Here is a 26253-nt window from a genome sequence, read left to right on the forward strand (position 1 = left end):
GGGCGGAGGGGCTCCTCACTTCTCAGACGGGGTGGTTGCCAGGCAGAGGGTCTCCTCACTTCTCAGACGGGGCGGCCGGGCAGAGACGCTCCTCACCTCCCAGACAGGGTCTCGGCCGGGCAGAGGCGCTCCTCACATCCCAGATGGGGTGGCGGGGCAGAGGCGCTCCCCACATCTCAGATGATGGGTGGCCGGGCAGAGACGCTCCTCACTTCCTAGATGTGATGGCGGCTGGGAAGAGGCGCTCCTCACTTCCTAGATGGGATGGCGGCCGGGCGGAGATGCTCCTCACTTTCCAGGCTGGGCAGCCAGGCAGAGGGGCTCCTCACATCCCAGACAATGGGCGGCCAGGCAGAGACACTCCTCACTTCCCAGACGGGGTGGCGGCCGGGCAGAGGCTGCAATCTCGGCACTTTGGGAGGCCAAGGCAGGCGGCTGGGAGGTGTAGGTTGTAGTGAGCCGAGATCACGCCACTGCACTCCAGCCTGGGCACCATTGAGCACTGAGTGAACGAGACTCCGTCTGCAATTCCGGCACCTCGGGAGGCCGAGGTTGGCGGATCACTCGCGGCCAGGGGCTGGAGACCGGCCCGGCCAACACAGCGAAACCCCGTCTCCACCAAAACCAGTCAGGCGTGGCGGCGCGTGCCTGCAATCGCAGGCATTCGGCAGACTGAGGCAGGAGAATCAGGCAGGGAGGTTGCAGTGAGCCGAGATGGCAGCAGTACAGTCCAGCTTCGGTTCCGCATGAGAGGGAGACCGTGGGGAGAGGGAGAGGGAGAGGGGCCTTCCTTCTTTTACCCTCACAAATGCCTTCCCTCCTTCATCACCATTCCAAAAGTTTTTCTTGTCCTTCAATCAAGGTCCTTTCATTTCTCACCTCCCCACAATGACTTTCCTTTGCTCACTTCACAGGCCTTTTCTCAAAAGCTTTTCATTCCTTATCTCACAGAGCCCTTTTCTCCTCTCTTAAAGTCTTCAGTCCCTTACTTCCCTTCTTTTACCTTATATCATCCTCTCCCTCTCTAAGCTACCTTCACTAAGGCCTTCCCCTCTCCCTCAAATTCCTTCTCTTACCTCTTTATTTACCCTCCTCCAGGCCTTCACTCACTCCCTCTCAGAAGCCTACTTTCAGCTCTCCAAAAGTTCTTCTCCCCACTCAGGTTTTCCTTCCTTCACCACCCAAAGGTACTTTCCACTTCTTCCCCAAAAGCCTTCTTTTCTTCCTTCCACTTAATGGTCTTTCTGCCTCACTTGCTTCACTCAAAGTCTTTCCCTCCTCCTCCAGATTCTCCCAACCTGAACTGCTTTTCCTTTTCCTACAACCTTCTTTCCTTCCATAACCTTCCTAAGTCTCAGATGGTTTTCTCAAAACAGCTTTCTCAATATTACCCATAATGGCGTGCCTTTTCTCCCAACCCCCTCACAAACGTATTTTATGTTCTCATCTGCACAAAGGCCTTAGATTTCCCACAGTCTCCTGCCTTTGAGCTCCAGACCCAAGCCCAAAGACTTCAGCATCCCCACCTCTAATCCCAAGGGCTTCTTTCTCCCTGCTCTCCCTAGAGGTTTTCCGTCTTCTCAACCAAGGTCCACCCACAGTCAAAGAGGGAGGCAAAGATTGGGCAGTGGCATCACAACTAAAAAGAATAGAGACTTCTATACACTATGTCACAACTACATGGGTTTCTAGGTTTTTGTGAGGAATGAAATTCATAATTAAATAAAGTATATGCTGTTTTATCAATTATTTGAAATAAGTTAGAAAATATGATTTCTGTTCTTTGAAAAAATGTTAAGATATTTTTAATGATCATTTACAAATCATAATATTACTACAAATTATTCAGGTTTATTTCTACTATTTATCTAAAACACCAAAGTATTTCTGAATTACTGTATTTGTAATAGTACAATACTAAAAGTCTTCTTATCCTCTAAAAAAGTAAGCTGAAAAACAAAACTATAAATTGTGTATTTTTTCTTAGTCAGCGAGTTCTTCATTTTCTATTTCTATTTTGAGTAGAACTCCCACACAAAAAAGAATACTGTCTAATTCAGTGTGATTTCTTTATTTCCAGGAGTACTTTTTCCATTATAGGTCTAACATGTTTTCTCCTAAAATAATCTATGATTCATTCTTTACATTGTTAGATTTCCCAGATTCTCAGGAGGTAATATGTGACTGTATGAATTAAATTTAATTTGCATTTAAAATTATTTCACTTAATTAACATAACAAAATGCACTTGTTATGGGTTGAATTGTGTTCCCTCACCAAAAACAGTTGCAATTATAACCCCAATACCTTATTTGTGATCTTGTTTGGAGATAAGGTCTTCATAGAGATAATCAAGTTAAAATGAGGTCATCTGAAGTGTATTTTAATCCACTATGAATGGTGTCCTTATAAAAAGGGGAAACTTGGATGCAGAGACAGACACCCATACAGGAAAGACTATTTCAACCTGCAAGCCAAGGAGAGGCGTTTCCTCACAATCCTCAGAAGGAACCAGCCCTACTAACACCTTGGTTTTGGACTTCTAGCCTCCAGAGGTGTGAGACAATAAATTTCTGTTTTAAGCCACCCAGTTTATGGTATGTTGTTACAACAGCCCTAGGAAACTAATATACATCAGAAGGTAAAATAATTGTCCATGGTCCTGTAGAATTATGGCAAAAGCAAAACATATGGTTCTGACATTAAAATTCCCTTTCTCATTTCTAGACGGACCCTAGTGAGTTCTCTTAGATTTAATGGTACTGACAGGAATTGAAGTTGAGTGACCTGAGGTAACTCTGGGATATACCTCCAGTTTGTATTGTCATTTGCATTCCCAAGCCACATTGCCTTTCAAGTTATATTTATGCAGAAGACGTACAGACCAGTGGCATACAGGATAAGGAGAGAAGCAAACTGTGGACTGGGAGTTTGATTCCACCAATAATCTGTAACCTATTCAGTCAGTCCTAATTGCTCATCCTTTTCAGGGAAATTTAAAAAATGAGAAATAAAGATGGACTAGTAGGTAATATTTTCAAATTGCCTTAGCTGCATGGACAGATCTCAGTAACTAGTTTCTGTATCATTATATTAGAATACTTTATTTATCTGATATCCTTGGGGAGTGAATGAGGCATTACACATAGAAAGTCTGGCTGCCTGCCGTGTACCTAATTGAGCACGAGGCTAGCTTTTGCTTTAACCCTGTGTACGTGTGGTGTAGTTGGAGGAGCCCTAAGCTAGGAATCAAGAGATCTAGGTTGCCCTGATTGTTCACACTAACTTGCTGTGTGACCATTGATGAGTCATTTTACCTCTTTAGGCTTCAGTTATCTTATCGAAAAAATGAAGAAATTTCACTAGGTGGGCATTTTTCCTGTTCAGTCAAAATGCTTGGTTATCTTAATGATACCAGTCATTCATATTTTCCTTTAAGCTACCTTACTTTTTTACATTAATATATTTATTTAAAAAGGGAACTGTACCATAGTTATAAATGGAAAGTTGACCATATTTGCTATTAAGAAAGTTATTAATAAAAATAAATATCCTGAAAACAAGTAATGATATTAAATTTAAAATTGTAAGCAATAAAAATAAACGATGAAAGACATGTAACAAACTGTTTTGCATTGTATTAAGCCCTTCACATGTGACTTCATTTAATCCTCATAACACTTCAAAATAAATATCACCATTTTGCAGATGAGTAAACTGAGGCAACGAGAAGTTTACTGACATGCTCAAGTTCACCACCTAGTATGTGGCAGAGTCAGGATACAAACTCAGGTCTGTTTGAGGCCAACACCCAGAAAGATAGTGGCATAGGTAGACCCTCAACTTGAAGCCTCAGTAAAATCCTTTAGAAACTGATACAGTTAGCCACTGCTCTTTCTGTCTCCTCACCCTGTCATTCAGTTTCTCATCTATTAGACCTCACACCACAGCGGGGATGGGGGGGGCGGGGGCAACATAATTTGTAAAATGAAAATACAAGATCTCTCATTTAAAATTCATGGTTTTCAAAATGGCGATAGCAAAACATTAAACCAAGCATGGAGCTCCCCAAGTGTGGGGCCCTGTTTGACTGCACAAGTCACATATAGATGAAGCTCTCTGTCTGCACTGAGTCTGGTGTTTCTTTTCCGTTGAAATGTAGTTAGATTTTTAGTCTTTTATTTGTAACAGGGAAATTAAAAAATAAAAAATTCTTTGTGACAAGGAAACATAATTCGTTCTTTAATATTTTCTGCTACCAATTTAAAAGGCTGACTCCTAATCTTTTATTTGCTGAACATGCTAATGAGTGTAAAGATGCAAATTAGAGGCAAAGAGGATGACATTATTCTTCATATGAAAAATAATGGAGGAGGGGAAAAAGGCTGGAGGCTGTTTGGGTAGAGAGGAAGACCTGAGAAAAAGGCTTGTGTGCTAGCTGGTGGGAGACTTTGGAGAGAGTTAAAGAGGAAAAGGAGGCAATTGTCCCAGGGAAGAAAGAGCAGGGACAAAAGTTTATAAAGCCTAAGCAAAAAGAACAAAGCTGGAGGCATCACACTACCTGACTTCAAACTATACTACAAGGCTATAGTAACCAAAACAGCATGGTACTGGTACCAAAACAGACATACAGACCAATGGAGAAGAACAGAGGCCTCAGAAATAATGCCACACATCTACAACCATCTGATCTTTGACAAACCTGTCAAATACAAGCAATGGGGAAAGGATTTCCTATTTAATAAAGGGTATTGGAAAAACTGGCTAGCCATATGCAGGAAACAGAAATTGGACCCCTTCCTTATACCTTATACAAAAACTAACTCAAGATGGATTAAACACTTATGTGTAAGACCTAAAACCATAAAAACCCTAGAAGAAAACCTAGACAGTTCCATTCAGGACAATGGCATGGGCAAAGACTTCATGACTAAAACACCAAAAGCAATGGCAACAAAAGCCAAAATTGACAAATGGGATCTAATTAAACTAAAGAGCTTCTACTCAGTAAAAGAAACTATCATCGGAGTGAACTGGCAACCTATAGAATGGGAGAAAATTTTTGCAATCTATCCATCTGACAAAAGGCTAATATCCAGAATCTACAAGGAGCTTAAACAAATTTACAAGAGAAAAAAAAACCATCAAAAAGTGGGCAAAGGATATGAACAGACACTTCTCAAAAGAAGACATTTATGAGGCCAAAAAACATATGAAAAAAAACTCATCATCACTGGTCATTAGAGAAATGCAAATAAAAACCACAATGAGATACCATCTCTCGCCTGTTAGAATGGCAATCATTAAAATGTGTGGAAACAACAGATGATGGAGAGGATGTGGAGAAACAGGAACGCTTTTACACTGTTGATGGGAGTATAAATTAGTTCAACCATTGTGGAAGACAGTGTGGCAATTCCTCAAGTATCTAGAACCAGAAATACCATTTGACCTAGCAATCCCATTACTGGGTATATACCCAAAGGATTATAAATCATTCTAGTATAAAGACACATGCACACGTATGTTTATTGCAGCACTATTTACAATAGCAAAGACTTGGAACCAACCCAAATGCCCATCAATGATAGACTGGATAAAGAAAATATGGCACATATACATCATGGAATACTATGCAGCCATAAAAAAGAATGAGTTCATGTCCTTTGCAGGGACATGGATGAGGCTTGAAACCATCATTCTCAGCAAACTAACACAGGGACAGAAAACTAAACACCGCATGTTCTCACACATAAGTGGGAGTTGAACAATGAGAACATATGGACACAGGGAGAGGAACATCACACACCAGGGCCTGTCAGGGGGTGGGGGGCTAGAGGAGGGAGAGCATTAGGAGAAATACCTAATGTAGATGACGGGTTGATGGGTGCAGCAAACCACCATGGCCCATGTATACCTATGTAACAAACCTGCACATTCTGCACATGTATCCCAGAACTCAAAGTATCAAAAAAGACAAAGTTTATAAAGATTTGCCCTATGGCAAGTGATGTCAGCCGTGTTTGGTGTCATGGTAGGTTTGATATGTTACTCATTTTTTTCTTTTACACTTTCAAATAAACTCATAGCAAACATTAATATATCCATAAATATTCATCTATGTTCCACCTAAAATTCTTATGTACTACTAGTGATAGACTACACTTTGAGACATACTGCTCAAATTAATTTAAAAATAATTTTCTTTCAGAGTACGGAAGAAACCAAAGGTGGAGGGCAGGGTAAAATATATTCTAGACTTATGGTTGAGACTGCCACTGATGTTGCTCATCTTAGTTAAGATGTTTAATTGTCGCTTTCATTTCAATGCCCATTGTAATGACCGAAAGATCTATAAAGGGTGAAAACCTGGAGAACCTAGAAAGTTTCCATCTGGCATCTATATGCCAGAAACTTGGAGGGTTCTCTGAAAGATAAAAACATGATGGAGAGAAATCACAGCAACTTGTGTTTCATGTCAAGCCAAGGGCAAGCCTGTCCAGCAGGGTCTGGAGGCTAGGGCACTCTGAGTTGGGGACTCTAAGTTGGGGGATCAATATTCTAGAGGAATTCCAGAGAGCACATAACTTGCTGAATATAACTTAGGATGGAGACTTGGGCCTCAGTGTGCTACTGTCAGCCAACACTTACTTCAGATGGTGTGCTGAATCGAGTGGCAACAAGGACAGCAAATTGACGAAGGGGAACACTGAGCAAACAAACAGCAATATGGAACTAAAGTCTTGTCAAGGTCCCTTCCATCTGTAGCTCCCTTCTCATGTCATGTAGGACAGAGGGTTCTCTGATCTGGCAAAATGTGCCTAGCAACATTAATCTCATTTCTTGTCCTTGTGCTGGAAGCACTCTCCCAGGCCCTTTGTTCAGCCAGCTACTTCTAGTCTTTTTTTTTTTTCCACTTAAATATCATCTCCTCAGAGAGACTGGCTCCCATTTAAAGTAGCCCCCCTCCTTTATTCTGTATCAGTATCCACTTTTCTTCATAGCACTCATTACAATTTGTAATTACTTAATTTGTTAGTGGTCTGTCTTCTCCACTGCATTGTAGTAAGCTCCATGAGGGCAGGGATCTTGTCTGACTTGTTCACTGATATATCCTCAAAACACAGAATATAGTGGGTGTTCAATAATGAGTAAGCATTAGTAGAAAACAAGCAGGACAAAATGGATTATGTTTAATATTGTCAAGGTGTAATATATAGTGAAGATAAAATTGTCATGATTGAATATGCACTATTGGAATATATGAAACAAATAGTTTTAGAAATTTAAGTAGAAATCGTCAAAACCACAATCATGGTGAGATACTTTAATATTTATCTTTTAGTCCTTGACAGAAAAATAAAGATACAGAGCATTTGCATAATATAATTTAGCTTGATTTAACATTTATAATAGAGTTCATTGTGAGAGTACACATTCAAATGTATGTGTATGGAAGTTGCTCTCATTAAAATGAGAAAGAAGATATTATCATTGATATAAAGGAGATTTAAATATTACAAGTGAATAGTCTTATGATTCCATGCTAATAATTGCTTTGTAAATAGATGATTTCCTAGCAAAATAAAAATAACAAAATTAACTGTGACCATGAAGAAGCAAAAGATAAAGAACTACCCCTCTCCAAAAAATGAAGACTCAGACTTTTTCTGGATGAGTTTTCCCAAACCTTTAATGGATCAAATCATTCCTATATTGTTTCATCTGTTTTAGTCTAGAAAAGCAACAGGAAGCTTCCTAGGTTATTTTATGAATGAAACAGGTATAACTCTTATGCCAAAATTTACAGATGTAGCACACAAAAGAAAACTGCAGACACACTTCACTTAGGAATGTTGAATCATGAATCCTATATAAAACATTAGCACTTGTGGACTTTGTTCAAGAATGCAAGAATATTTTAATATTGGCAAATATATTAATAACATTCAATAATTAATAGGCAGGGGGAAATATCATCATGGCAGTAAATATTAAAAGGATTTGATAGAATCCCAGTTCTATCCCTGATTCAAAATGAAACAAAATAACAACAGAAAATTTGTAGAAAACTAAAACTAGAGAAATACATCCTTAATTTAATAAAGGGTATCTATCTTACACCAGCAGCCAACATTATACTTCATTATGAAATATTAGCACATTCCCATTAAAGTCAGGAATGACTCAAGAACGCCCATTATTATGGTTATTAATCAACATAGTTTAAACATTTCTAGGCAATACAGTGAAAGAAGAAAAATAATTCAGGTGTTAATATTGTAAAGAAAGGAGACAAAGTCATCTATATTTAGTGATAATATTATTGTCTATCTGGAATGAAACTGAAGAACAATGAGAACTAACGAGAGTTAACTAAGGGAGGAAGAAAATATATGTATAAAAATCAATAGCTCTCTTACATACCATCAATCCACTAGAAAATGTGGTGAAATGGATTATGTTCACAAAACAACAAAATATATATGATGCCTGGGAATAAATGTACTAAGAAAAGTGCAGGGCCTATCTGAATACAATGATAAACCTTATTCAGGGACATAAAAAGAGACTTGAATGAACAGAGAAACAAAACTACTTAGGTGAAAAAATTTTGTAACATTATCAATTCTCTCCAAATGAGTCTACATTTAATTGAATTCATGCCTAGCACGTGGGACACACAATAAATGATTTTTGAATGAATGATAAATAAGTGAACATAATTACCATAAAATTTAGAATTTTTTTTGACTTGACAAAACGATTTTAAGGTTCATCTAAAAAATTCTCAGAGCTGAAAATAAAATTTGATAGTAGAGACAATGAAAGGATTACCAGATCAGTTATTAAAACATAATGACATAAGATAGGCCGGGTGCAGTGGCTTACGGAGGCCTAGACAGGTGGATCACGATACCAGCCTGGGAAACATGGTGAAACCCCGTCTCTACTAAAAATACAAAAATTAGTTGAGCGTGATGGTGCATGCCTGTAATCTCAGCTACTCGGGAGGCCAAGGCACAAGAATCACTTGAACCAGGAAGGCGGAGGTTGCAGTGAGCTGAGATTGCGCCATTGCACTCCAGCCTGGGCAACAGAGCGATACTCTGTCTCAAAAAAAAAATAAAAGAAAAGATAAAATAAACAATAACATTAGTATTGGCACATGAATAGATAGGTTGGTGGAACAGAATAGAAAGTCAAGAAGCAGATCTATGACTATAAGGATATAGTAAGGATTTAGAATGTGATGATGTTATCTTAAGTATAACAGAAAAGGATGGATTTAATAAAGGGCCTTATGACTGCTGGAAAAATCGTATCCCTACTCCACAACACACTCCAAAATATACTCCAGGTGTATTAAATATTTAAATTTAAAAAGTACAACCATGAAAATGTTGGGAGTATTAGAGTATAGAATGCCTTTATAGAGGTAAAAATAATAAAGGAAGAGATTGATAGATTTAATTACATATAACATTTTAAGCTTCTGAGCTTCCCAAACACCATAAAAAAGTAAGGATAACCAATTACCTTGAAAAAAATATTTTAAATATGTGGCAGATTAAGAGTTAAGTTCTCTACTATGCAACACAATATGAAATATGTAAGCTCACTGATTATGAAAGTTGCAAATTAAAACAAAAGATATTTTGTTTTATTTTGGCCATCAAATTGGCAAATAATAAAAAATGGAGAGGTGTCAGAAAACTGGCACTTGCCTGTACTACTGGTAGAAGTGTATTTTAGGGTTGCCCTGCTGGAGGGTAATTTGGACATACTCAAGAGCCACCATGCCTTAAGAATTTATCTTAAGTAATTTTTCATGAATATTTGCAAATATATAAATATAAAGCTTCAGTGATAATCATTGCAAGCTAACGATAATGTAATGATAATCATTGCAGTGTTCTTTATAACATCAATAAATTGTAAACAGCCTAAATGTTTTCCTATGGAGAAATTGCTAACTGAGTTATAATAGAGCCATATAATGGAATTCTGTGACATTATTAAAGATAGTTTTGGGAAATATTTAATGCTATGGACAAATCTGTGTTATCCTCTTCTCTCATGTAGGAGGGAATTGTGTAAATAAGACTAAAAACCAGTTCTTTAAAATAGTGAGAAAGAAGGATAAGGAAGGTTTTACTGTATGTAAGGCCTTGATTTTTGTCAATATATATGTAAGCCAACATATTTTCCAAGACTTTCTGTGATGGGATCTGATTTAGTTGGAATACATACTGTTTTCAGCTCATCAGTTGATTAGGCCTCTTAATGCCATTTGTCAGAGGCAAGTTTACTATTGTAAATCAGCTTACAACAATGGCATGTGTCAGCCTATAGCTTAAGCATTTGTAAATTTAACACTTTTTCAGTTTCACAACAAAATTGCATTCTGATTATTAATGATGCTTAAGCTGTTATGAGATGAAAGTATATCTGTTAGCTATTTGACATTCTATAATTAATTTAAGCAAAGGTAATTACCATTCAAGGGTCATTGAAAGTGATAAATGCTTTATATGTTGGGATTAATAATTTTACTTCTTCTTAAGGGTCCTCATATTTTGTGCTTGCAAATGGACATATCCTGCCCAACAGTGAAAATGCTCATGGCCAATCTCTGGAAGAAGATTCCGCATTGGAAGCTTTGCTGAATTTTTTCTTTCCAACAAGTAAGTTCTTGTTTGATTTTTTTCCCCCTCTAATGTTCTTGTTTTGAAAACAGTAATTAAATGTTTAGGAAGCAGTGTGGTGTAATGGCACTGGAGTGGGACAGAGCTGAGTTTGAATCCTGGCTCTGCTCTTTGGCTTAGGCAAGACAATCTCTCTGAACCTCAGTGCCCTCATCTTTGAAATGAAGATATTTACCACAAAGAATTATGAGGATGAACTGAGATAATATTCATAAGGCATTTCATAAATGTTTGTTACTGTTTATAAAATACTTTTCCTTCGCAAATATCTAATCTTTCACAATTTGCCTGAATGGCATTGCCTGAAATTCAGTCACTGACCCAGTATTGTGAAATTGATGTCTTCTGTGGCATTAGTGAGGGTACTGTGTGACTGATGTTATGGAATATGCCAGATGTTTTCCCATCTGTTTTAATGATAGAAATCCCAGGTTTCAAGTCTCACTGTCTTTTTGTGATTCTGTATATAATGTGTTTATCAAGCACATTATGACCCCTGAGAATTATTAACCACAAATAAACACGTTTCATTTTGTATAGCATGTGGTGCCCTTTCAAGGAGAAGCTTCATATAAATTGGAATATGTGAAGTACAAAGATAAAGCTCTTATGAAAAATCATGCAGAATTTATTCTAACAAAATTTGATATACTCTATAAGCACAAAATTATATCTGTTCTTTGATTCCAGGCCTTTCCACTGAATTCTTTAGTGAACTTGAAAAAATCTCTTTATGTTTCTTTATACTTGTTACATTAAGTTTAAAACAGGCATCTACCAATGAGAATAGCAAAATAAACAAGTTCCTTAAATAAACTCAAAATACTGCCATGGTCAAATTGAGTAAATAAAAAAGAAATCTGAGACGGTGTTATGTCGTATAGGCTGAAAGAATGGTTTGAGTGCCACAGTTAGTCGTAAACAACAACTAATGATGATTTAAGCTTTAAAGCTTATGAAAACAACAGATGTAAACAGTCACATACTTACCTGTAATAACTACATTGTACAGACACTGAAGCCACCTGTAAAAATGGTTCGAAAAAGATATCTGCATTTCCCAAATATTTCTCCAACCTGGTGCAGGAAAGTAAGTCAAAATCAATTATATGAAGTAAAAATTTTGTCCAACAAAATAAAATTGTTCCATTTTAATAGAAACATCTGACCTAGGTTGATTCAAAAAGTGATTAAATATTTATCAAATGTACATACTGTCTTTGAAGACAATAACTACAGCTTCATAAAACGTGAAATATTTTTAACCAATTTATTTCTTCCCCCACATAATTGAAAATAAACACTCTTACCACTTAAGCATGAAAAAAAAGTTCGTTGTTTTGCCATTAGGCTACTATTTGTAAAATATTTATCTCTTGCAGATTAAAATGACAACCTTGATACACACTGGCAGGGAAGCTTGAGAGATCACCTGATCTTTCTCCCTTTGGACAAAATTACATACTTAAACCTGACAAAAAAAAATTGTTCTACCTTTTTGATTCTTTAAAATTACCAATGCCTCTTAGTAATTTGAGCTTGAAAGTTAATTTGTTTTTGTTTTTTTGAGACAGAGTCTCGCTCTGTTGCCAGGCTGGAGTGCAGTGGCACAATCTCGGCTCACTGCAACCTCTGCTTCCCAGGTTCAAGCAATTCTCCTACCTCAGCCTCCTGAGTAGCTGGGACTACAGGCACATGCCACCACGCCCAGCTAATTTTTGTATTTTTAGTAGAGACAGGTTTTCACCATGTTGGCCAGGACGGTCTCGATCTCTTGACCTCGTGATCCGCCCGCCTTGGGCTCCCAAAGTGCTGGGATTACAGGCACTAGCCATCGTGCCTGGCCTGTGTTAATTTTAATATCTAGCATAAAGTCCATCAGATGCACTTAAAGCAGAAATTAACAGATGATCTTAGAGATCATATAGTCTAGTCTCTTCTACGATTTAACCCTAACCCTAACCCTCTCTTTAGCATTTCTGGGAAGTGGTGTTTGAACAGTACCCATGGTGAGAAACTCAGCATGCAAGGAAATCCATCCCATCTCTGAGTAGTCCTGACTATTGTCACCATTTTCTGGGTGTTTGACACCCAGAACTGAACACTTGATGCAATCCAACCTAGGGGAGAAGAGCCGCTCTGGGCCTAGCAGAATTGAAGAACAGATTACTTAGAATATAGAACAACAAGTAGGATAAACTCTCATGTCTAAAATGTTTGGAAAATGAGTGTCTAGGCCAGTTGGTAGTGCATTAAATTTTTGATCTTGCATAAGTTACTTTGATCCTTTATTATTTTTAAAACAGAGATTGTAAAACTCAATTTGGGAGTTTGTTGCAAAGATTAGTAATAAAGTGTGTAAAGCAAGGTTCCTGGCCCAAACAGGTGCCTAAATAATGGTAGATATTATTATTTTTACCTTGGCTTCAGCAATTGCCAATCTTTAAAAAAGAGGAATGTAGTAAAATATACTGAGGTTAAAATTTGCATAAAACAATTACGTTGTTCTTTGCTGATGTTGAAGTGCTTTAGTGATTATAAAATATCAGTTACTACTTTTAAGTTTGTAATTGTTGATAGTATAAGAGATTGAACCGAATCTATTCTGGCCTTAACACATAGACATACTGTGGAGGTTTTTCTTTTTGAATGAAAATCTAATATTGTGCTTTTTAGTTTGTATTTGTTTCTCTTATAAAGCAGGATATTATAGAAAATAAGCTATTTGAGCTTGCAGGTCTTTTAGATTCAGGTATGTACGAATTTATTGCAGTTGCATAATCTTGGTGTTAATGCCATAAATCATTGCCTGTTTAAAATTATAGAGTCATAATTTAAGGGTGAAACGAAGAATCTTAAAATATATTATAGTGCCAATATGATAAGTGTTCACAAAAAGTAGGTCAATGCCAGTGTATCACTTACTTTAGTCACTAGCAGCAAACTATGTAATTTTTACTTAGTTCTGTGGCTTAGTAACGTTAAGCCGGAGGATATATGTGGGATCATTTTAACAAGGGATTAGTTTTAAAAGCATTTGACTTGTTGTTATTTAGTTCCTTCTGTGTTATATTTGCATCATCACCACTCAGCACATGATTTATTGTCCTTTTAAACTATCTTACCAAAGATTTTTTAACAACTTGTAATTTTCTGCAATTCACCTAGATTTGAAAATGTGATATTAAATAACTTAGTGGTAACTTTTAGCTTAAGTCTTATTTTCTTTTAGCACCCATCATTAGCTGTATATGCCATTAAATGTTTGCTTTTCTTCTTTGTCTTCCAGTAATTATTTAATTAGGGAAAGTGGTAACTAACCATGCTGAATTCTCTTTCTTAAATTTCTGTTTTTAAAAGCTTGCAATCTGAGGGAAAATCAGGTGGCAAAGCCTTGTAATGAGCTGCAAGATCTTAGTGAGAGTGAATGTTTGAGACACAAATGCTGTTTTTCATCATCGGGGACCACGAGCTTCAAATGTTTTGCTCCATTTAGAGATGGTAAGTTATTCCTCTTTCATTTATTTCTATTTTTTAATATTAAATAAACAGATCGCAGTGGCATAAGTTCATATTTGGATTTCCTAGCTTAATACTTAAATGGGACTCCCAGTCCTAGAGCGGTGCTCCTTAGAAGGTCCTGAGGTGGTCATGACTCTGGTCAGGAGCAGTTTTTGCTTAGCCTTTGGATGGTGACTTTGGTAATACAAAAATTAGTCTCACATTTTCTTTTGCTTTAGTCACTCTCTGTGTTTTGTCCAAAAGTTTCCAGGCTCTATGGAACCCTCAATGGCTGAGAGAAGATACCGGTTGGGCATGCCTTAGCTTACTTCTCTTTGCCCAGCTTTTCCTCCTAGGTAGAATTCTTCCCATTTGTCTTGTCTTCATCTCAGTATGTAACAGTAGACTTGAATGTTTCTTGTTAAGGTCTGCTTATTAGTTTTTCTTTATTGGGTATTTTTTGAGATAGCATCTCACTCTGTTACCCAGGCTGGAGTACAGTGGTGACGTGATCACAGCTGACTGCAGCCTCGACATCCGGGGCTCAAGTGATCCACCCGCCTCAGCTTCCTGAGTAGTTGGGACTACAGACGTGCACCAGCAAGCCCGACTAATTTTTAGTTTTTTTGTAGAGACAAGGTCTCCCTAGGCTTCCCAGGCTGGTCTCCAACTCTTGGGTTCCAGCAGTTCTTCTGCCTCGGCCTCCCAAAGTGCTGGAATTTATAGGTGTGAGCCACCACACCGAGTCTTGTTCTATAGTTTTTGAATTAGGTTCTTCTGAATATTTTTTTCTTTACAAAGTTTTGAGAACTACACCATCTGTTTTTGCTACCTTCATTTGGATATTGGGGATGTATTTCCAGTTGCTCTCATGATGCATGGATTTGATATGATGAAACACTAATACTACAAAAAGGATGCATGCAAAATAATATCTTAAGTTAATATAGTCCCTATTCAATTTACGGCTTTTTGTTGAATATGTAGTATTAATACTGGAAACTAAAACCTGATCGTGAATATAATATTACAATTTTAACACTGTCACATGTTATTTGTAATTCATTTATCAGTTTGGTCTTTATATTATGTATGAAGCAACATTTGGTTCTTGCAGAGGAAAAAATTTAACTGTGACTTACAATTCCCCAATCACATTAGAATGCATTTTCCGATGAATATAAGACTAAAATATGCTTATTTCACCTGCACATTCTTGATTCCTTGTTTAATTTAATATTTTGTAATTTGGAAGTAAACCTGCAGCATCTGGTTATTCCCAGTCTCCCATCCAAGCACTAACCAGGCTAGACCTTGCTTAGCTCACAAGATCAGATGAGATGGGGCACATTCAGGATGGTGTGACCATAGATTAAGAAGCTATTTATTTACCAAGTTAACGGTTCATAGATTAATGTGCTCCCCAAGTGCTCTAGGATATACAACATATGGCCAAGAGAAAAAGCCAATTTAGGGCCAGAGGAAGAAATATCGTATGCATCATAGTAATCAATGATGGTACAAAAAATAGGATCATTTTGTTAAGGCTTCATTAAGGGGTACATATTGAAAGTGTAGCCTTCAGTTGTATTTCAAGAACATTTCATGAACTCCTGTTCCTTATAAAGTAGCAAGGATATTTACCTGTCACATAAGAATACCTCCTCATTTCACTTTATTAACTGATAGTTTCTTTATAAAGACTTTATGAAAGAACTTGGATTTACTTCTCTTGCTTAAGTCATGAAAGTAACAGGATATAATTAAACCAACAGTGCCTAAACAGATGATGCAAATGTTTGGGCTTGGTGCGATCAGCCTTATCCTGGTATGTCTGCCCATTTATTGCCGCTCTCTTTTCTGGAGGAGGTAGGTGAACATAAACTTTTATTTGCTCGTTGCTAAGTATACATGAGTATTTGTGTATAGACATATTTATTAATACACTTCAGAAATACAGGGATTATGTTTGGGTTCTTTATGTTGAAAATATGGTAGCTTGGGAAAGACCTAAAACTAGAGTTGCCATAATATGTTTTTAAAATGCATGTTATCGGCCAGGCACGGTGGCTCACGCCTGTAATCCCAGCACTTTGGGAGGCCGAGGCGGGTGGATCACTTGAGGTCAGGAGTTCGAGACCAGTCTGACCAACATGGCGAAACCCCGTTTCTATTAAAAAAAAATACAAAATTAGCCGGGCATGGTGGTGCACGCCTGTAATCCCAGCTACTTGGGAGGCTTAGGCAAGAGAATTGCTTGAACCTGGGAGGCAGAGGTTGCAGTGAGCCAAGATCCCACCACTGCACTCCAGTCTCAGCAACAAGAGTGAAAATACGTCTCAAAAATAAAATAAAATGCGTGTTATTTTATTTTTCCATAGATTTTCTTCTTGCATAGTATCTGTACATTCCCTTATGAAACAAACCCACAATTAGAAGGAAAAATAAATTAGCAAGCTTGGTGTGTGTGCAGTGGGGGTGGCTATTAACTGCAAATCAGAACAGTTCCTGGAAGTGTTAGTTTCCATTGAGTCATCTGCCATTGGTCTTTAATGATCATCTACTATTGGGTCATAAAGCCTTGATCTGTCTTCAAGCCAATTGGAAAACAAATTTCTTCTTAGCATCTTATACAAAATGCCAATGGACTACTAGCATGATGCTTCCAAGCTTTTTTTTTTTTTTTATAGCTCCCCACCTATGGGGACAGAGTGGGTATAGAGGTACAGAGCACAGTCAGGACTAGAGTGAGGTGAGTGAAGCACTTAGAGCACAAAGTTAAGGGAAGCACTCACTCTCAGGTTTGTGCGCGTGCAAGGTCAGCATTGTCACTACCCTGAGAATAAGTACCTCCTTAAATTCTCTGATAAAGACAAGGTGCCTGTTGAAGGTTAAGCATGTTTTATGTTTTTATTGAAGTTAATGTGGAAGTAGTAGTTGAGTTACCAGAATATGGTTTAGATTTCGCAAGAAGAGTTAGACTATATACACTGCCTTACTTTGGATGAAGATCATCGAAGTGATTGGCAGTAGGAGTGGAATTTTTGGCCCTTCCTTCTTCTCTTCAAAGGTTGATTTTGTATTAAAAAAATAAACCATGAATAACAATAAAGTAACATTTGCTAGAAATTGGTGGCTAGGAATATACCATGAAATTTAGAGAGTTTCTAGGATTATAAGTTTGGTATGATAACTTCATTATGGTCCCTGTGTTATACCTCTGCAAAGGAATTTTATGGGGGTGTTCAGGTCCCCTGGATTTTTTTTTCTCTAAAATGAAATCCAAAGGATTGTTCTCTGATCCTAATATATTTCCTTCTTTCTACATAGTACAGACTGCTTGAGAAACAATGTGAATAAGTGTATATATTGGATACTATACATTTTGGTTTACTATGTTTTATTTATTTATTTTACTATTTTGTGCAAGAGCAGTATGCTCCTTCGGTCATCTTGAGCTGACTATCATGACCCTTGGAGCAGGTAGCAGATTCATCTTGCTGCTTAGCTGAATTTCCAGGAACAATGATTGAGAGTGGATGGGCACTTTCAGCCTATTGTGGTAGGCTGATTTTAGAGGCAAGGAGAATAATTGTGTAAGAACGGGGAAATCCCATCCCTGATATCAAACAAGGAGCCAAGTGCAGGCCATAGTCAGCTTTTGCAGGGCAAGATATCTCCTTAGAACGATTTCCTTAACTCACTTTCTGTTCTCCATTTCAAAGAATAAAGAGATAGATAAAATATTAGGGTAGGTAAAATAAATAACCCATAAAAGAGAAATAGACACAGCAGTAAAATCAATATGTGGTGGCTTAAAAAGGAAAAGAAAGAAGCCAAACACAATTGTTTGTCCAAATCAGAGGTACCAAAAGCTATTATGACTATCTGCAGTAATGTGATTTGGGCCTCTTTTGGAAGACCTTTTTTTGCTCTTTCATCATTGGAAGATACCCTTAAGCTCCTCCTCCTGCTAAATCCTGTCTTAAACATTAAATAACTGAGAATTCCTTTAAGAAAGAGCTGTCATAGCTCTCCTCTTGGCCTTCGGTTGCAAGCCAAAACAAACAATGTTTTGGTATTCCCCAACCTCTGCAATTTGGACAGTGCCTTTTTTAAGGATCACCTAAGGAGCCAGCAACTGACAAGAGTTGGAGAGCTTAAAAAATGAGAAGCACTTTGGGAGGCCAAGGCGGGCAGATCACGAGGTCAGGAGTTCGAGACCAGCCTGAACAACATGGTGAAACCCTGTCTCTACTAACAATACAAAAATTAGCCGGGCATGGTGACATGCGCCTGTAATCCCAGCTACTCAGGAGGCTGAGGCAGGAGAATCGCTTGAACCCGGGAGGCGGCAGTTACAGTGAGCCGAGATCGCGTCACTGCACTCTAGCCTGGGCGACAGAGTGAGACTCCATCTCAAAAAAAACAAAAACAAAAACAAAAAAAAAATGTGAAGCAATTTGAGTTGGTGGGAGAACTAAAAGCAGTGTAGGTGAAAAGGGTAATTATGCACCAGAGCCATATGTACTTCAGTTTTTGGCGCCTAAGTCATTTTTTCCACTATTGACCATATTCATTGAATGTTTGCCTGTGCCGGGTATAACGGAGGATACAGAAATTTTTAAGATATAGGCCCTACTTTTAAGGAGCTTAAATCCACCTTAAAACAAATCCCAAGTATGACACATTTAAATTACAATATAAGACGAAAATAATTAAGGACTAAAATGGATGGTAGCAATAACTTACAAAAGTTTTGAAGCAGTGGAGATCAGGTTAAGTAGGAGAGGGCACGTCAGGCTTCATGGTAGAGGTGCCGTTTCAGGTCGATTTTGAAGGGGGACAGATTTGGAGTAGATAGAGAGGGGTCCTTTTCACAGAATTAATTACATTCAGATGGTGGTCTTCTCACTATAGACACCTTAATTTATTTCATTTCCTAGCAGATACAGCTTAATTTTGCCACTGAAAAAATCTATAACTGAATCTCTAGTTTACTTCTACTTGACTTGAGTTCTAGTGTGATATGAACCTGGTACACAGAGGACTCAAGCCGGTTTGAACTGGTTGCACATACAAAAGGAAGCAGAGAGCATTAGTGAAAAACTTTCTAAGAATTCACTAATAGCCATATTAAACTAACATATAAGATGTGTTTTTGAAATTTATTGTGTCCTTAAGGTTATGTAAGATCTATTTTTATCCTCAATAGGGATCAGAAGCTTCATTAGGTATAAGTGTCACTAGTAGGCTTAAGCCTTTGCTTAGAGGAGAAGGAAGGAAAAGATCAAGTGGATAGCGACAAAAGGAAGCAGGGGAGAGGAATTCTAAGGGGAAGAGAAAAAGGGAGGTGGCTGAATTGTTCTTATTAACAGCTATTACTGTAGCCAGCGACAGTAGTCTCAAGTGCAGTTTCTAATTCAGTTTCTAATCTTTATCTGTTTTTAGATAAAGTTTAAATCTGTGTGTATATGCCATTTAAACATCTGTGGATTATATAGTGATATGATACTTGAGTGTGTCTGTAGCTTTGGTAAGGTGGAAAATTTAAACATAATACCATGCCTGTTAAATTCAGATGAAGTGCATTTTCATGTTCTTTTTCTTCCTATCAGATTGAATTTGTAACTTTGAATTAAGACAAAATTCAGAACTCAGTCTGAAAATGACAAAACTGTGTTTTCTTTCAACTAATAAAATGTCTATTTTTTTTTGAAGATTGTAGATCATCTGATACACAGATGATGTAAAAAGCACATCCCCCATACACTTTCAATGTTGCTACTTGCCAGATGGCTGTTACTGAAAATTTCTACATTTAGACCAATCCTGCTGCATGATTCCCTGTATTATAATCTGGTTTTCATTATGCCGCTAGTCTTAGTGCCACTTATTTTCTTACAATGGGAGGTAAAGAACTGGGAATAAATGTGTCAAAAACTGCCTAAAAATCATCACCCTTTGAATTTAAAAAATAGACATTTACATTTTCAATTTCCCATGTTTGCATATCTCATTATACTGTACAATATAATTAGTAATGTTATTTTGAAAAGCTTTATGCAGTAATTAGCGAACTACTGGAAAGTTTGAAGTTCCTAGGATTATATACATCTGGATTCAGAGGAAGGAAATAAAATCTATAAATTTTGAAAAGTATGACTAGGCTGTAAGAACTTTGATAAAATATGTCAGATGAGAATGTGAGCAAACTGGAACTCTGTTCTAGCATGAGTCACTATAGGTTTGAAATTCGTATAAAGCTGGTACTTCTTGGACGCTGTTCATGGTAATTTAATTACTGAAATAATAAGAGAACCTCATTATGCGGATCATATGTCTGAGGTGTTCTCATTGCAAGGACTCCAAGGACAGCATTTTAGAGAACTCTGGCATAGTAGGTACTATTAAAAAGAACATTCTGTTGCCAAGTAACTAATAACTTCATTGCAAAATGAAGTGTCCTTTTCTCAATTCCCATTTAATTTGATCTTTTTGTCACAGAGTACACTGTTGACTGCTCCCTTCTTGAAATTTTCCCCCCTTGGATTTCATTGTTCCTCTTACAATTTTGATCCATCTCAGTCTGCTTTTCTTTGTTCACCCAAATGTGGTTGTTTCCCAAAGCCTTACTCCCATTTATCAGAAAATGTTAGAAATATATAGTAGGAAGAACATTCTAAAAGATCTGCGTTCTCATTCTGCTTTCACCACGTTTCATGGATGTGTTTAAATTCTTTGAGTATTGATTTCCTAACAAAATTATAGTAGAGACTTGAGTTAGATAATTTCTATGGTATTTTCTGACCATAGTATTCCAAGAGTCTCTGGGTAAATTACTCTTAATTCCAAATCCTAAAATCTTCACCTCTACCTGTTCCATATTTCCAGTCACTCTCGTGAATTAGATGTTTTATCAGCACCTCAAATGCAATATGTGAAAAAGTGAACTCATTTTCTTTTTCTCCTAAATTATCTCCCCTTGACCCTTCTCCATTCCTGTCAGTGATTTCTTTAGTTTCCCAGGCTAGAACCTTAGAGTCTTTGGTGACTATTTCTTCTCATTTATCCTCAATATATAATCTTTTCACTTACTCTCCTTGTCATTGTGTTCTGTTTTGTTTTGTTCTTCTTTGGAATGAGTCTGGAATTTGCCCCTTCTCCCATTTTATTGTAATTTAGTACCAGCCTTGAGTGCCTTTTCCCATTCTAGGCAAGTGGCTTCAGGAGAGGAGCAAAAGGGAACTAAGGGTAGCATCTAAAGAGCGAAGGCAGGTTTCAGAGCTGAGAGGTCATAATGATATATCTAATCCAAGAGATTCTTATAGGAGAGACACCATCTGAGATGGGGCCGCAAGTGGGGCTTGGAGGATGGCTAGGAGGTGGGTTCCAGAGAGGTTTCCTGGTACTTAAATAGGAATGTATAGCATTGGCCTTAGGTAAAGAGGAATTAAGGATACCTGCCAAACCAGTTTGGACATATACCTGGACTCCTAATCTACTCTCCCTCTAATCCATCCTGCAATGTCTTGCCAGACTCATCTTCCTGAAATATCTCTATTTCATTTCATTATATCATTCAAGAACTTCTAATGCTTTCAAGAATATCTGTGTTCCAGGCCTTGTGTTAGGTGCTGTGAAGGACAAAGAAGCAAATCAGATTATGCTCTGTGCTCTCAAGGAACACACATAGTCTGTGTAATAAGGGACATATACAAGTATCCAAAGTAGAAAATCATTGTCCGTAAAAGAGGTACAGATAAAAAGTTAGCATGTAGATGGCTTCTACGGAAGTAAACTTGGGAATTTTTTTTTTTAAGACAAGTTCTCGCTCTGTCACCCAGGTTGGAGTGCAGTGGCACAATCACGGCTTACTGCAGCCTCGACTTCCCGGGCTCCGGCAATCCTCCCACCTCAGCCTCCCGAGTACCCAGGACCACAGGCGTGTGCCACCACACCCAACTAATTTTTGTATATTTGGTAGAAACAGAGCTTCACCATGTTGCCCAGGCTGGTCTCAAACTCCTGAGCTCAAGGAATCCACCTGCCTTGGCCTCCTGAAGTGCTGGGATTACAGACAGAAGCCAACATGCCCAGCCCGTGGGTCCTGGGCTTTTCTTTTCCTGGGAGAGTTTTATTATAGCCTTGCTCTCGTTACTTGTTATTGGTCTATTCGGGTTTTGGATTTCTTCCTGGTTCAATTTAGTTAGGTTGTATGTGTCTAGACATTTTTCCATTTCTTCTAGATTTTACAATTTATTGGCATATAGTTGCTCAGAGTAGCCACTATTGAACCTTTGAATTTCTATGGTATCAGTTATAATGTCTTCTTTTTCATCTCTGATTTTACTTATTTGGGTATTCTCTCTTGTTTGCTTAGTCTGGCTAAAGGTTTGTGAATTTTATTTATCTTTCTTAAAAAAACAACTTTTTGTTTCATTAATCTTCTGTATTGTTTTCTTCATTTCAAATTTATTTATTTCTGCTCTCATCTTTATTATTTTTATTCCCTAATTGTGGGTTTGGTTTGATTTTGCTTTTCTGGTTATTTAAGATGTATCATTAGGCTGTTTATGTGAAGTTTTTCCTCTTTTTGATATAGGTACTTACAGCTATAATCTTCCCTCTGAGTACTGCTTATGTTGTATCCCAGGTTTTGGTATATCATGTTTCCATTATCAGTTGTTTCAAGAAGGGTTTTAATTTCCTTCTTAATCTCTTCATTGATTCATTGGCTATTCAGGAACATATTGTTTAATTTCCATGTGTTTGTATAGTTTCCAAATTTCCTTTTGTTATTGATTTCTAGTTTTATTCCATTTTGGTGAGAGAAGATGCTTGTTATCGTTTTAATTTTTTTCAATGTTTTAGGGCTTGCTTTGTGACCTAACACACAGTCTATCCTTGAGGATAATTCATGTGCTGGGGAAAGAAAGTGTATTCTGTAGGGTTTTCTCTAAATATCTATTAGGTCTATTTGGTGTACAGTGCAGATTAAGTCTGATGTTACTTTGTTCATTTTCTGTCTGGAATATCTGTCCAGTGCTGACAGTAGGGTATTGAAGTCACTAGCTATTATTGTACAGGGGTCTATCTCTATCTTTAGCTCTAATACTATTTGCTTTATGTATCTGGGTGTTCCAGTGTTGGGTGCACATATATTTACTATTGCTATATTCCATTGCTGAATTGGCCTCTATCATTATGTGGTGACTGTCTTTGTCTCTTCATATAGTTTTGTTTTGAAATAGATTTTTTTCTGATGTAAGTATAGCTACTCCTTCCCTTTCTTGGTTTCCATTGGTATGGAATGTCTTTTTTCATTCCTTTATTTTCAGTCTATATGTGTCTTTATAGGTGAAGTGTGTTTCTTCATATAGTTTTGTTTTGAAATATATTTTTTTCTGATGTAAGTATAGCTACTCCTGCTCTGTCTTGGTTTCCATTGGTATGGAATGTCTTTTTTTCATTCCTTTATTTTCAAGCTATATGTGTCTTTATAGGTGAAGTGTGTTTCTTGTAGGCAACTGATGATTGGGTCTCATTTTTATATCCATTCAGCCACTCTGTGTCTTTTGATTGGAGAGTGTAGTCCTTTTATATTCAGTGTTATTATTGATAAGTAATGACTTACTTCTGCCATTTTGTTATTTGTTTTCTGGTGGCCTTGTGGTCTTCTCCTTCTACTTTCCTTCCTTCCTGTCTTCCTCTAGTGAAGGTGACTTTCTCTGGTGATATGATTTAGTTTCTTGCTTTTTATTTTCTGTGAATCCATTGCATGTTTTTTGATTAGAGGTTACCATGAGGCTTGCAAATACTATCTAATAACCTATTATTTTAAGCTGATAACAACATAACATTGTTTGCATAAACAGTCAACAAAAAGGCAACTAATAAAAACTCTACCTCATAGTTTCATCCCCCAATTTTTAAACTTTTTATTGTTTCTGCTTGTATCTTATAGTAGTCGATGTTTTGAAGAGTTGTTGCAGTTAATATTTTTGATTGGTTCGTCTTTAGTCTTTCCACTTAAGAGTAGTTTATACAACAAAGTTACTTTGTTATAATATTTTGTGGTTTTCTGCATACTTATTATTGCCAGTGAGTTTTGTACCTTCAGATGATTTATTATTGGTCATTAACACCCTTTTCTTTCTCATTAAAGTATTCAATGTAGCATTTTGTGTAGGACAGATCTGGTATTGATGAAATCCCCCAGCTTTTGTTTGTCTGGGAAAGTCTTTATTTTTCTTCATGTCTGAAGGATATTTTCGTTGGACATACTGCTCTAGGGTGAAAGAGTAGTATGTCGTATTTTTCCTTCAGCACCTTATATATATCATGCTACTCTCTCCTGGCCATAAGGTTTCTGCTGGTAACTCTGCTGCCAGACTTACTGGGGCTCCATTGTATGTTATTTGTTTCTTTTCTCTTAGTGCTTTTAGGATCTGTTGTTCATCCTTGACCTTTGGGAGTTTGATTATTAAATGCCTTGAGGTCATCTTCTTTTGGTTAAATCTGCCTGGTATTCTATAACCTTCTTGTACTTGTATATTGATATCTTTGTCTAGGTTTGGGACATCCTCTGTTATTATTGCTTTGAACAAACTTTTACCCCATCACCTTCTCTACCTCCTTTTTAAGGCCACTAACTCTTAGATTTGTCCTTTTGAGACTATTTTCTTTTTTTTTCTTTTTTTTAATTTTTTAAATTTTATTATTATTATACTTTAAGTTTTAGGGTACATGTGCACAATGTGCAGGTTAGTTACATATGTATACATGTGCCATGCTGGTGCGCTGCACCCACATTAGGTATATCTCCCAATGCTATCCCTCCCCCCTCCCCCGACCCCACCACAGTCCCCAGAGTGTGATATTCCCCTTCCTGTGTCCATGTGATCTCATTGTTCAATTCCCACCTATGAGTGAGAATATGCGGTGTTTGGTTTTTTGTTCTTGCGATAGTTTACTGAGAATGATGATTTCCAATTTCATCCATGTCCCTACAAAGGACGTGAACTCATCATTTTTTATGGCTGCATAGTATTCCATGGTGTACATGTGCCACATTTTCTTAATCCAGTCTATCATTGTTGGACATTTGGGTTGGTTCCAAGTCTTTGCTATTGTGAATAGTGCCGCAATAAACATACGTGTGCATGTGTCTTTATAGCAGCATGATTTATAGTCCTTTGGGTATATACCCAGTAATGGGATGGCTGGGTCAAATGGTATTTCTAGTTCTAGATCCCTGAGGAATCGCCACACTGACTTGCACAAGGGTTGAACTAGTTTACAGTCCCACCAACAGTGTGAAAGTGTTCCTATTTCTCCACATCCTCTCCAGCACCTGTTGTTTCCTGACTTTTTAATGATTGCCATTCTAACTGGCGTGAGAGGGTATCTCATTGTGGTTTTGATTTGCATTTCTCTGATGGCCAGTGATGGTGAGCATTTTTTCATGTGTTTTTTTGGCTGCATAAATGTCTTCTTTTGAGAAGTGTCTGTTCATGCCAAGTCAATCCTAAGCCAAAAGAACAAAGCTGGAGGCATCACACTACCTGACTTCAAACTATACTACAAGGCTACAGTAACCAAAACAGCATGGTACTGGTATCAAAACAGAGACATAGATCAATGGAACAGAACAGAGCCCTCAGAAGTAACACTGCATATCTATAACTATCTGATCTTTGACAAACCTGAGAAAAACAAGCAATGGGGAAAGCATTCCCTATTTGATAAATGGTGCTGGGAAAACTGGCTAGCCATATGTAGAAAGCTGAAACTGGATCCCTTCCTTACACCTTATACAAAAATTAATTCAAGATGGATTAAAGACTTAAACGTTAGACCTAAAACCATAAAAACCCTAGAAGAAAACCTAGGCATTACCATTCAGGACATAGGCATGGGCAAGGACTTCATGTCTAAAACACCAAAAGCAATGACAACAAAAGACAAAATTGACAAATGGGATCTAATTAAACTAAAGAGCTTCTGCACAGCAAAAGAAACTACCATCAGTGTGAACAGG

The 26253-nt window shown here is 37.5% G+C and overlaps 1 protein-coding gene and 1 pseudogene across 1 annotated transcript in view; one reads left to right on the top strand and one right to left on the bottom strand.

The window, feature by feature from the left end:
- FMR1NB (FMR1 neighbor) overlaps positions 1 to 26253 on the top strand; it is a 45329-nt gene that overhangs the window by 11296 nt on the left and 7780 nt on the right. Inside the window, exons 2-4 of the mRNA NM_152578.3 lie at positions 10569 to 10688; positions 14070 to 14210; positions 15986 to 16079. Coding sequence (NP_689791.1) covers positions 10569 to 10688; positions 14070 to 14210; positions 15986 to 16079 — 355 coding nt within the window. The remainder of the gene's footprint in view (positions 1 to 10568; positions 10689 to 14069; positions 14211 to 15985; positions 16080 to 26253) is intronic.
- Positions 15468 to 15583, bottom strand: RNA5SP524 (RNA, 5S ribosomal pseudogene 524; annotated as a pseudogene).

Source organism: Homo sapiens, chromosome X, assembly GCF_000001405.40.
Source record: "Homo sapiens chromosome X, GRCh38.p14 Primary Assembly".
NCBI classification, from domain to species: Eukaryota; Metazoa; Chordata; class Mammalia; order Primates; family Hominidae; genus Homo; species Homo sapiens.